Source organism: Homo sapiens, chromosome 4 (genome assembly GCF_000001405.40).
Source record: "Homo sapiens chromosome 4, GRCh38.p14 Primary Assembly".
NCBI classification, from domain to species: Eukaryota; Metazoa; Chordata; class Mammalia; order Primates; family Hominidae; genus Homo; species Homo sapiens.
The window spans coordinates 156,189,331-156,203,573 of NC_000004.12; the positions used below are offsets into that span (position 1 = coordinate 156,189,331).

General features: G+C 37.6%; 1 annotated feature.

The window, feature by feature from the left end:
• Window positions 6,705-6,804: a silencer, noted in NCBI's record as "silent region_15771". NCBI's record gives its function as "represses an Ori minimal core promoter by ATAC-STARR-seq in GM12878 lymphoblastoid cells {active_cell/tissue: GM12878}" and the evidence as "EXISTENCE:reporter gene assay evidence [ECO:0000049][PMID:35858748]".

Below are 14,243 nucleotides of genomic sequence, written 5' to 3' on the forward strand. Positions count from 1 at the left end.
CAAACATGTTGATTTTGAGGATATTAAGGAAAAATAAGTGGTCAATTCAAGAAGGCATTTTTATATGTGGGGGTGAAACTGGCATGGAGTACTAGATTAGAAATTTAGATTGAAATATTAATTTGGTAGTTAAAAGCAGTTGATGAGATCACTGAGGAAGTTTGTAAAACATCCAGAGGAAGTTGGCTCAAGATTAAGATAATGTAATAGACTGAGTTTTAAAAGTAGAAGAAATAGCAGGAGAATGTTTTGGAATTCGAGAAAGGTCTTCATGAATGGAAAATTGTCAACAGTGCTAAATGCTAGAGATAAGCTCAGTTAGATGACATGTGAGAAGCAGCCACTAGATAATTAATGAGTAAGTTTTTAATAACATTAGCAAGAGAACTTTTAGTATAGGATTTGTGGTGCAAACCAAATTGAGCTGAAGTAAGGAGTAAAACCAGGTAAGGAAGGAGAGGCAGTTAGTAAAATAACAGTATTTAAAAAATTGACTATTAGAAAGAGAAAGGGAAAATGAAATAGAATAATGGCTCAGGAAAAAAAAATGTTTGTCAAGGTTTTGTTTGGGGATTTAACATTGTTATACAGTGCAGGAAAATCATGAGCGGAAGTGGAGTATAATGGAAATCCCATAAACCTTAGAGTTAGTGAACCTTGGTTTGATTCCCTCCTCTGTCCATTGTTAGTCATGTAAACTTTAATTCTTCTGTTGCAGGATTTGCTGAATAATTCTGAGCTTCAGTTTTCTCTTATGTAAAATGCAGACAAAAATATCTTGCAGACATATTTTGAGTGGATTGAAATAATGTCTATGAAGTATCTAGCAGAATGCTGTTATATAATAGGGACTCAATAAATAATGTTTTTATTTTTATTAATGAAATATTTCTATATACTCAGTTAATGCTAATGTAGGTTACATCTTGTTGAACCTATTAACTCTCAGACAACTTCAAATACTTATAGCACAGAAACAGAAGGGCAAAAAAGAAATTTCACTTATTGTAAACTTGGGAAGTTGGAGTACAGTGGGATTGTCCTGGAAGAGGAAAAACTGAATGAACACTTCTGAAAAAAGGGTTTTTGAAAAGGGGTATGGAATCACCTAGGGCAAGTTTACTTTTCTCAATTTCTGTCTTCATAATGAACATATTAAATAAAAGTATTGTTTGAACATGAAGATGTTTCAGGTTACCATGATATAAGTGCTCTTTATCTTTGGTCTAGACTATACTTGCTAATTTCTCATGAGTACCTGTGTGCTCAGAAAAATCTTCCTTAAAATTTCACAAACTTGCAAAACAGGCTTTTAGTAAGACATCATCAGCTTCTTGGCCCTTACAAGGAAATGGAAGGAAACTTATTATATTCTTTCCTAGACCTATTTACAAATCATTCTTGGGTCACAGAAATGTCACAGCCATGAGTTCATCATTTTAAGGAAATTCCCTTTGCTTGAACATAACATATGTTAGTCCCACAGTGCTGAGCTTATAAATTCTTATGATTCCTTATTTGGAATTATCCTTCTGAGTCAAAACCAGACCACAAAATATGTAATGGTACAGACTAAACATAAGCAACATGCTACCAACATCCACCAAGACAACAAAAACAACTTATGGTAGAGTAGCTTAGGAGAAGATAAACATTCTCAAACCAAACAAGGCAGAAACCGTACACCTTTCTTACTCTTTATTCTTAACTTGGGACTAAATTCCATGTCCAGTTGATAAATATAAATATTTTATCTTTTATTGTAGCAATTTTATCTGTACTGTAAAATCATCTTCATTTGTAAGACTCTGTTATGATAAAAAGTGCTTTTTCTGTCTTCCCATCTGCTCCATAAAGAAAGCAGATATTCAAGGGAGCAACATTATAAAAAGTGCCTGTGTGTGGTCTGGGCCCTGCTTAATGTAGAATCAAAGGATGCTGTGGGACTTCAGTTCATTCCACTACTTCCAGACAGTTTCCTCTAAACCCTCTTGGACAGACTAGTTTATAAAGTGTCCAGGTCAGGCACTTGGATAGTTATCCTACCTAACTGCCAGGAGTTTCTTCTCAGGTTCAAGGTTCCCTTAAATACATCTAACAATTAAATCCTTATTCTGATATTAGACCTTAAATGGAGAATCTCTGGATAGTTAAAAGCTTGTGATGAATAATTGTTAACACTCTTCCATCATTGAACTGTTAATAACAAATCAGTGACCTTGTTGTATAACCAGACACTTTAAATATTTGCAGAAGCTTCAAGAATGAAAAGGTAAATAAAAATAGAGAGGCAAAGTCCCAGGTTTGTGTGTGTGAGATAGCGAGGCAGTAGACGTATGGGAGAAAGTAATAGTGCAGTATCTAAGTGTAGGAATAATAGTAAAACTTTAAAGGATTTTTTAAAATCATGGAACTTTATGTTGAATAGAAACAAATCTTAATATTTCAGAAGCAAGATAACTAATATCTTCAAGCAAATTAGATGGACACAGATAAAAGAATAGAAAGGGAGCAAATTCATTTTTAAGAACATAAATTTAGGTTTCTTTTAAATGATTTGCAGGTAGGAAACTAAGTTTAAAGTTTACTGTTTAAAACATGGATGTGCTCTCATTAGCAGAACACAAGTGCCTCTAGGCTGTTTATGAAGTTGTGGTGAGAACTGGCCAGGTAAGCAAAGGTGATGGAGGGGCCCAACTTGCCCCTTTGAAGTCTTACAGATTGAGAAGCATTAACAGCCAAACTTCAAAGAGCAATGCTTCATCATTTTTGTGATCCAATCACTGTATTCAGCTGCAATTTATAGGCTGGTGATATTAAATTGGGAATGGTTTAGTTGCTCCCAATTAAGCTTTGGAAATGAAATTAAAAGTTCAAAGTACTCAGCTGCCTGTAAAGTGAGTTGGCAAAGTTGAGAGAAAGCTGTGGTAGTTTGCTTTGAAGTTTGTTTTGTTTGTCAATGCATCTTAGAGGGTTGAATTAAATGGGAAACTTGCTTGGTTCTAATTTTTCTTTTAGGGCAATACAGTCTGGGTCAACTCACAGTTTATATTGGACTAAATTATTTTCAAATAGCAGGATGGAATTATATTAACTTAAAACTCCCTAAACATTCACACACAAAGGTACACACTCACATACCCATAGCTTGATGTATTTGAATTCTAGAGGTGAATGGAATTTCCAAATTTACCTAGACCACCCTGTATGTAAGCTTTTGAGATTCACTGTCATCTAAACCATCCATCACACACAGTTGGTCCCCCATCCTAAAAAGCTTTAGGGAAGGAAGGTCAAAAGTTTCATTTTCATGAGGTCCAGAGGGGGAAGAATTATAAAATCAGATTCCAGGAAATAAGTAAACCATCTCAGTAAATAAAATCTAATGGGCCCCATTTGATAAAAAATGACATAGAGGAAAGAGCTTCCATTTTGTAATGGAATGATTTTTAAATATGAATGTGATCTCAGAGTGGGAAGTTATGGCATTTTTCAGAGAATTATCAAATAAGTATTGGAAGTGTCTGATTAAATATGGATCTATAAATGAATGCTGATGTTTTATTTTTTGTGTGAGGGAGGAAGGAAAAAATCAAACAATAACTTGGCATTGCTTTTAATATAAATGCTTTATAGTGTATTATGCAAGTGAAATATGAGAAAGACTTTAGGTTAGAGGCATTGGATTAAAGCACATCAAGCAATTCTTTGTTTCATTCAGGAATGAAGATGAACATAGTAGAGGGCTCATGCTTTTCTATTGCTCTGTCTGCCTTTTAATATGTTTTCCAAGTTAAAATCTGTTGCCTTCTTCTTATTTTCTCCAAATGGAATACATTTTATCTTTCTAGTAGAAACCTGAGTTCTCTGAAGAGTACATCAAAGATTTCATGAATTCCCAGAACTTTTCTGGGAGGCGGGGGCAGTTTCATCTGCTAGAGAGAAAAGTCCTGCAGTGAAATATGAGTAAGTTGCTGTGAGCCCAGGGCAGAGCCAGGGCAGGAACTACAGTTTCCTGACTCTCAACCCAAGTCCTGATGCCTGGTCCATGACCACCAATAAAAACAGTAGCAAAAACAAACAGCAAAGGAACTGGGCTATCAAAAGGGTTACTTTTCCTAAGAGGCAGATGGGGAAAAAAAAATCCTGCCTGTTTTATTCGTATCTTTTCAATTGCATTTTACATCCCAATGAATCATCAGGAAAAACAACAACAACAACAAAAACAAAAACACTTTTAATGAAATGTCAAGTCGAACGCTGACTTCCATTCTAAGCTAAGGTGACCTCCCGGTTAAGGCACAGACACTCTTTCCACTGTTGTTTCTGTGACATCATCGAGGGGTCTGCAGTGGATGACAAGCTGCTGGGGCGTTCTCAGCTTATTTCATTCTCCCTGTGAGTAATCGGAATCCTTCAGTTTTTACAGTTCTAAATCATTCATTTATTGGAGATATATAATCCTATTGACATCACTGGGAAAACTAGTACAAGGAATACAGTATTCCCCATGATTTCAAACCTGCTGAGAGGCAGTCCTTGAATTGTCACTTCTGAAGTTGGCCAAATGGAGCAAGAGATTGCTGAGTGGGTGCTCTCCTCTAACATCTGAGGACGTGTCTATGCTGGGAGCCCACACCTGCACAGTCTGCTCTGGTGGCACTACTCCAGGAAGCTGGGTTTCGCAATGCTGCCAAAAATGGAAATAACGGGGAGAGACAGATGGTGCATCTGTGGAAGCCAAATCCAGTTGTATATTCTTGATTTATTTTTCTCTGCTCCTATGTAACCCTGAGGATAAGAAGATGTGAAACTAATCTTAGAAGGAAAAGAAACACTTTATAAAAAGTTTGGGGTACTTTCTGGCATGAAAACCTTTTATACACTTCCTTGGGGTTTCCCTTGATTTACTTAGTCTTTCTCCAATCTCAGATAATTGCATAATCTCTATAATGCATACATTGTTAAACATTAAATCTAATGTAGGGGTTTTCTGGAAACAAAAAATTATTTTTTTTATATACAGGGCCTGGAAACAACTAGTCAAAATATATTAATATTGGGTTCTTGTCTTTCCAGGGTCTAAGTCATTCCTTAGTACCAAGGTAAGAGTATAAGCAGGTATGTCCACTCTTAAAGCCCACTTCATTTTTTTCTCTTCCTTTTTTGTGTGCCTATTTTAACTGCATCTCACTTGATAAAGGTAACATTAAATTACTGAGTGATACCTCATCCTTTTAAACTTTAAAAAATTCTATTAACACCAGACATCAGCATTCCCTAAACGAGTAAAAACCATAAAATGGTTTGCAAGCCATTTATTGTATCTCCACAGAAGTGGGATCATGGCTTGAATTGAGTTCTAGAACACTCTCTAGTTGTGTTGGACTATATTAGCATCCAGGCACGGTGGCTCACGCCTGTAATCCCAGCACTTTGGAATGCCAAGGTGGGCAGATCACGAGGTCAGAAGTTCAAGACCAGCCTGGCCAACATAGTGAAACCCCATCTCTACTAAAAATAAAAAAATTAGCCGGGCATGGTGGTAGGTGCCTGTAATCCCAGCTACTCAGGAGGCTGAGGCAGGAGAATCTCTTGAGGCGGGGGTTGCAGTGAGCCGAGATTGCGCCACTGCCCTCCAGCCTGGGTAACAAGAGCGAAAACTCCATCTCAAACAAACAAACAACAAACAAACAAGAACAGTGTTTACCTCCTAATTCTGTTACTCTTGGCTAATGGTGACTAATACAGCCCTTGCCTCATGCCACAATGGACTGGAGGCAATAGTCACCTTTAGTCACTGTAGTTAAATTCTGAAACTTCCAAAGAATGTTTCTCCCCTCCACCTTGAACAATTTTTATCCTAAAAGAGGAGATCCTCTGACATGGGTTCAGGACAGGCGTGGTGCACAGGATGAGGATTGTTCTTAGAAAAGAGGGGTGCCGCAATGCCTGTAATCGTGGGTTTGTGAGGAGGACCAGAGGGAATGGCAGACCGCAGGTACTCAATAAGTGATAAATGCTTACTTTCCTGTTATCTACTTTGTGTATCTGGAACGTAGCCAGATATTTCATGGGAGCAAGCTGACTGCTAGCTCCCTTAGAATAGTAGAAAAAGAGCAAAAAGATAGGTTACTTCCTATCTAATATACTTTTGCAGTCTATTTTCACTGGACATTTAAAACAATGAAAGATAAAGAAACTGATGCTCAGGGAGCTTGTGACCCAAATTTACTACTGAAAAACAAACAACCCCATTAAAAAGTGGGCAACGGACATGAACAGATACTTTTCAAAAGAAGACATACATGTGGACAACAAGCACATGAAAAAATGCTCAACATCACTGGAGAAATGCAATTCCAAACCACAGTGAGATACCATCTCACACCAATCAGGATGACTACTATTGAAATGTCAGAAAATAACAGATGTCAGTGAGGATGTTATTAGTTATTAGTAACATATTTATTATTAGTAGTAGTAGTAACATATTTATTTATTTAAATTTCATGTATTTACTTTAAAATTGTTATAATGTCTATAATTTATGTTTAATTTAAAATACCTCAAACTTGACAGTATGACATTGCTGTGGTTTGAATGTCTGTCCCCTTCAAATTTATATATTAAAATACTAATCCCCAAAATGATAGTATTAGGAGATAAGGCCTTTGGGAGGTGATTAGGTCATGAAGACAGAGCCTTCATAACTGGGACTAATGACCTTATAAAAGAGACCACAGAGGACTAACTAGCTCCCTGTGCTACATGAGCTTGAGTAAGAACACAGCTCTCTATGAGGAAGTGGGCCTTCACCAGACACCAAGTCAGCTAGAACCTTCATCCTAGACTTCCTGGCCTCCAACTGTGAGAAATCTCTCTTGTTTATAACCACCCAGTCCATGGTATTTTGTTAAAAAGCCCAAACAAAATAAGAGAGAGATATGTATTTATTTCAGTTTACATCATAGGAGCAATTAGTTAATATTTTAAGTATTCTAATCAGAAATATACACACTGAGTGACTCAAAAAGTACTCGCTTAGTTAACATTTGGAAAAAAATAAGAACAAAACCCTAAAATAACAGCAACATACAAACAGAAGCCCAAGCTCCAGAATAGACTGTTTCTAATTTATAGCTGTCTTTATCTTTCCAAAATATTGAATGGTTGTTAAATAACAGAAATGCTAGAAGTTACGGTTCATCGGTGAAAAAGTTGGTGTTTAAGATAGGGGAATGGGCTGGAAATACCATGGGAGAAATACGGTAGGGGGCAGGGAAGTGCTAAGAAGAGAATGGTGGGGTCCCTGGCGACAGCTCCACCCTTGGGCCTGTGCCCACGGATGTAGGTGAGGACAGGCACTCTTGTTTTCATGCCCAAATGTTGCATTTTCCAAGACCACCCTGGCCTGCCACTTCCCACATCCTGTGTGTCTAAAAACTCCAAGACCCTAGCAGGCACAGACACAAGTGGCTGGACGTCAAGAGGAACACACCAGCAGAAGAGCACACAGGCAGCTGGACGTGGAGAGGAGCAGAGGAGCAGAAGAGCCACCAACAGGCACCAGCAGACACCAGCAGACAGGCGAATGACGTGGCGCCAAGGGGAATTTGGCCGGGGCCATTGGAGGAGAATCTGGCCACTGAGCAGCCCAACCCCAGGGGAAAACCACCTTCTTACTCCATGCTTCTTCTGGCTCCCCATCCACCTGCTGAGAGCTACTTCCACCATTCTATGAAACCTTGGACTTATTATCCAAGGCCACACGTGATCCAATTTTTCAGGTACACCAAGTCAAGAACCCTGGGATACAGAAAGCCCTCTGTTCTTGCAGTAAGGCCCATGATCTATTTGAACAGATTAACACAAGCTGCCTACAGATGGCAAAACGAAAAGAACACACTGTAACAGACACCCACCGGGGCTTCAGGAACTGTAAACATTCACCCCTAGACACTGCCATGGGGTTGGTTGGAGCCCGCAACCACAACCTGCCTGTCTGCATGTTCCCCCTAGAGGTTTGAGCTGCCAGGCACCAAAGAAGCAAGCCGCACCCCCACCACCGGCCCTGCAAGGAGGATAGGGAACTTTTCCCATTTCAGGAGCGCAGCTGGCCTTGCATGAGTAGAGTGTAGGAATGGAATGAGCTTAATTACATCTATGATTCAAAATGACGCTTGGGACTCTCCGTTCTGCTTTTGGCCACTTAGGACTCTTGGAAAAAAGCAAAGCAAAACAAAACTAAGTTCTTTCATTAGCCTAAACTGGCAGCTATCTTGGTAAAAATTTTAGGCAATGTACTGTTATATCTAGCTACAAGTTCAGAGACCAGGGTTTCATTGAGTTTATATAATAGGAAGAGTGAATGTTTTATTGCCTACTTAATGATAAATATTTAATGTCTCTTAGATTTGATCTGAGATTTTTTCATTGTAACATGCCACCTGATAGCTTGCGATAGGCAAAAGAAAAAGAAAAAAAAATTCTCACCCTCTTCTAACTAACTGAAAGTTAATAGTATTTTGTAAAGTAACTACATAATTCTGAAAAACCAAATTGACATAAGTCATAACAATATCCCATCTAGCCTGTGACAGAGCTGCAGGATTCAATCCCAGGACTGATTCACTGGCCCCCCTGGGTCATTATGCCTCTTTAGAGAATCTCTCTGCTGTATGTATCACTAATTATAATCCTGGGCTGGATTTAAAAATAATCGGACTGACCAGGTGGTATGAATCTGTCATTCTGACTTTTCAAATTCCCTGGTCTCCAAAAGCCGACTGTGGTTCACAGTGCTTTGACAGAAGTTTCAGGCTTGCGGTTTTGTGTTTCCATAAGGGTCGTTTGGCAAGACAAGCTTCGTGTTAAGGTGGGATTCGACATGCCTAAGCCTTTTCCTTAAAACTTTATTACTGTGAATAACTCAGTTTTGATAAATTAATCTGGTGGGAAACTTTTCTTCAAGCGTACTGTATTACCTGTGGGAACTTAGGTTCCAATAGAAGCAAATCTAACTTCCATCAGCAAGAGAACCAGTAGAACACGGGAGTTAAATCAAAATGTTTTATGCTTTCTTCTTTCAAACTTGCACGACGAAAAGATAGAATTATAGTATTGATACAGGAGTGCTGGGAAGGGAAGAGCCTGGTCCCCTTAAATGATACAGAGTACGGGAAGGGAAGTGCCGGGTAGAGGAGGGCGTGGTCCCTGGCTAGGGTTCCACCCCCACGGACCTAGCTGAGGGCAGGTACTCCTGCCTTCGCACCCAAATGTTGCATTTCCCAAGAACACCCTGGCCCGTCACGCCCCCATCCTGGGCCTATAAAAGCCCAAGACCCTAGCAAGGCAGAGACACAAGCAGCTTGATGTCGTGAGGAACACCTAGGTGGAAGAAGACACAAGTGGCTGGCCTTGGCGAGCCTGCCAGTGGAAGAGGACACTGACGGATGCTGGCACACTGGCAGGGCATCCACCGGTGGCACGAGGTGGAGTTTGGTGGGGGCAGTCGGAAGAGAGTCGGAAGAGAGCCGGATGCCCCCGAGTGGCCCAACTCCAGGGGACAACCATCTCCCTTCTGACTGCCCCATCGGCGGAGAGCTACTTCTACTCAATAAAACCTTGCGCTCATTCTCCAAGCCTATGTGTGATCGGATTCTTCCGGTACACCAAGGCAAGAAACCCTGGGATGCAGAAAGCCGTCTGTCCTTGTGATAAGGAAGGGGGTCTGAGAAATTGAGCTGATTAACACAAGCCGCCCATGGATGGCTAAACTAAAAGCACCCTGTAACACATGCCCACTGGGGCTTCGGGCTGTAAACACTCACCCCTAGACACTGTTGTACGGTTGGAGCCCCACAGCCTGCCCGTCTGTATGCTTCCCTAGAGGTTTGAGCAGGGGGACACTGAAGAAGCGAGCCACACCCCTATCACATGCCCTGTGAGGGGGACAAGGGAACCTTTCCTGTTTCAGTATCAGCATATAAAGGAACAAAAAAAAAATTTTTTTTGAGAGAAAAAAATATGCTAAGCAAAACAGACCTTTTATTATACCACCAGAATAATAGTTGATAAGCAATGAAATATCCCCCAAACTGTAGATCCATAGCTTTATACCTGTCGAACCTAGCACACAGTTCAAATTGTATTGCAGGGGTTTTAACAAGATGCTCAGAGAGAAATGATACACATGACACTATTAGCGGATACAAAACCTTGGTGCCCAGAAGAAGAATATATTGTTGATTAGTTTTCAACCAACCTGATGGCTACAGCTAGATCTACGGATATAGGTCACAGTAATTAAAAGGGCCCAATCTTTTCCCTTTTTATATGAGACAGTATAAATCCTCACATGTTGATGAATTCTTGATAAATCCAGTTTTATTCAGAGTGAATGATGCAGTCAGATCTTTCTAATCTAGTTTTTATAGCACTTGTACATAGTAAGCGATGGGTGCTGTGATCTAGAACATATATATTGCCCTTTTTAATATTTGGAAAGCAAAATTTTGTTTCTACTCAGATGAATAATAATCAAACAAAAGGAACAAAAATTCCCCCAGTAAATGTGAAGAGGGTAGTTCAAACAAGATTAAATTGAACAATGTAGGATTTTTTTGAGCATCTCCTAGTGGCAGCATATCTTATACTTTTGAAAACAGTGGTCAAACTTGTAATAAGCTTTCTTTCATCTATTTTGTCATTAATTTGGATGATACTGATGATAAACTTTGACTGAACTCCACAGAGAAAATCAAACAGATCATTCCAAGGAATTTGTAAATTTTTTTTTTACCATATATTAGTGGACAGGATTTAAGTATATAAAATGCACATATCACTTTTTCTCTATCCCTTCCCTTTTCGTTTTTGGAGACAGTGAGAGGGATGGTAGTGGGAATGTGGTAATGAGGATAAGGTACTGAGATCCAGGACAGGAACTAGAGTGAGGAGAGTTAGGCACTTGCCTTGAAGAGTAAAATGAAAGAGGGACCCCCAAACTCAGTCGTCCAGATAATATTTTAATGCAGTATTTTTAAAAAACCCACAAAAATAGTGAAAAAGATTCATGATAAACAAAATATCCACTTTTAAGTAAATACGGAGTAATGTTACTTATTTTTTCTTTTGTGTCAGGCTCTGATATGGTTTGCTCAGTATTGTTGAGAACTCTGTTCAAAAATTCATTTTCTAAGAATCATTAATTTTGAAAATAAAACATAAATTCTGATAGCACCAAGACCAGTATCAGTTTTATTTTTATGAACATTTACATTTACATAGTTATATAAGTAAGTAAATATTCGGGCACAATATACAGCAAGACATTTAAGAAAATGAAGAGAAAGGAGACTAAGTTTCATGTCTTTAAGAAATTAATTTTTTTAAGATTTTAATCATTTTTTCTAATTATAGGTAAATATATGGTTATTGTAACTGATTCCAAAAATACAAGAAAATATGAAAAATAAATGGCCAATAACTCTACAATCTAGAAATAAAGTTGTAAATATTTTGATGTGTTGGTTTCTAGATTTTGTACTTCACTTACATGCAAATATCTTTTAAAACAAAATATTGGATTTTTAGTTTAATAATTAATTTTTTCCTTGAAAATGGAAACTACGGGTTAGTGGGAATATAGACAGTTTTGAGACCAAAGAGGCATATTAAAACTGCCTTTCTAAAGCTTACGTTAAATTATTCCCCATCCTCAAGTAATGTGTGATTTAGCCTGTTTCTTTGAATACATAACAAGTTCTATCCTTTTTATTTTTGACAGTCTGAAGATGGCAATTAAAAAACAAACAAAACAACACTGTGAGCCCATTGTTGTTTAAAGCCATCTATTCATCTTAAGATTTCATGGCATACTAATAACACTATTTATAATCACCTTTGTCACACTTTATTATTTATCAGTTTCAGTTCCTCTTTTTTGTTCTCTTTATACTAAAATCACCTACAGGGAAATATTTACAACTTTTTCATGTTGGTTTAAGCCTTTCCTACAGAGTTTTTGCTTTAATACTGACAGACCAAAAGCTTCACCATGGCTCAGTTTTACTTTGTTTTGTTTGCTCCTCAATCCTTATAATATTGTTAAATTTTTCTTTAAGATGTTAGACTTTTCTCAGAATATATTCAGATTTTGATTACTTATCCATGTAATTATATGGGAAACTGTACATTCACATCTCAATTCAGACCATGAAAGCTTACTTCTACTAAGTATTCCCACGGTGATACCCTTCCATTTGCTATTCAGGAATACCACTTACCTGCAGATCCATCATTTGCTTCTGGATATTCCCATGCACAATGGAAGATTTTCTTTCTTGTTTTAAAATTTTTAAAAATTCTGTATTTAGTGACTTGTTTACAGAACGTGTTCCCTTTTTTAAAAAAATTTAAACAAAGTTCATCAGTCTCTCATAGAAATGGTTTTTGTGTGTGTGGGTTTTTTTTGTTTTTGTTTTTGTTTTTCTCCATTATAGGACGTGAACCTGACAAAGTTGTTCACAGGTCCGCTAGCTTTAAGTACAACGGGATTTCTGTATTCAAAAGACTATACTCAGTGCTTAATCAAATCCTGTCACACTAAAGTCAAATTTAGTTCTCTAGGAATCAAAGTCTACGTTCTTTCAAGACTATTTCCCACATCAGTGATATGATTATCAGCTTTTATAATTCTGCTATTTATTACTTCAATTATATTTCAAAATTTTAACATCACATTCTTTTTTTCAAAAAGTTTCACAAATATCTTACTTAGAACCATTTAAATGTCTACTTCCTTGTAATTCAATTCACGTTTAATCCCCTCTTGTATTTTTCTTGTCATCTCCCTTTCCTTCTTTGTTTCACAATAATTACATTTTATTGATTATAAAGCAGATGCTATATGAGATTTCCTTTTGTTTTCAGTAATGATTCTTTCTTTTATATTACGTTCTTTTACTATGTTTGCTGTAGAATATTTTCATAGACACATATAGGCTTCATTTCTGTGTGTATACTGTGGCTTCTGTTAACTTAAATTCTGGATCAAATTTTACCCTAATATTGCTTTCATAAAGAAGGTTGCTAAACTGTTTCTGGGGCTTTTTCTTTAACATTTAGATAGAATTGAGACTGATTCTTCAGTCTCAAGTTAGGAGCCTTGTTTGCTAGTTCATTTAGGAGAGTTGGGAGGGAGGCAAAAACATGGAAAATTTTACTAGATAACTTCTGCAAGATTTCTTCCTAATTTTGTCGGAATTCATATGCACAGGTCCAGGCCCAATAGACCTAGCCACATCTTTTTGCAAACTCATGGATAGCTCTGTTTGGTCTTTCTCATGATAAGAACTATTAAATATAATGTATTTTTGGTGCAAAAATAACTGCGGCTTTTGTTAAAAGTAATAGCAGAAACTGCATTACTTTTGCACCAACATAATAGTTTCATAAGGCTGTATCTCCAGAGTCTCTGATGCTATTCTCTCCCAAACGATATCTACACTTAAATGCCTACCTCAAAATTAACATTTAAATATGAAACATTAATCTTTCTCTATATTTTCTTCTCTGATTTGCCCATCACAGTGAATGCCACTATTCAATTGGCCAAGCCAGAATAAAAGTATCATTTTTTTACTCATCCTTCTTTGTCACTCCCTCAAAATAACAATTTCCAAGTTTTTTCAATTTAACTTCTATTGTGTGGATTACTGTGATAACCTCTTTACTAGTCTTACTACATTTAATCACAACCACCTTCAATTCTTTCTCTCCACAGTGGATATAGTGATTTTTCTAAAATAAAATACCATTCAATTATTGGATAAAAAGGAACACCTCCTTATCAAGCTTTAAAAAAGGCCATGCTGTTACAAACTATTATCGAATTCTTCCTGAATTGAGTGTACTGTTTATATGTCCAGGCTTCCTCCATACTACCCCCTTCCTCTGATTGCACTGCATCTATAATAAACTATTTCGGGTCATGAAATGAATTATTCTCTCACCCCCAACCATTGCACATGGTCTTCATTCTCTACAGAATACTCTTCCTGCTCATTGCCTTTCATTTCCTCACCCTGCTCCCTATACAGCTGCCCTTTATTATGTTCCCACATCATTCTGCATTTCCAACAACATCGTACTCTTCTTAATAGATTATAACTGCTTGTCTAATTATTAATTTCCCCTGAAAAATATAAATTCTGTGAGGAGAGAATCTGTCTGGGCAT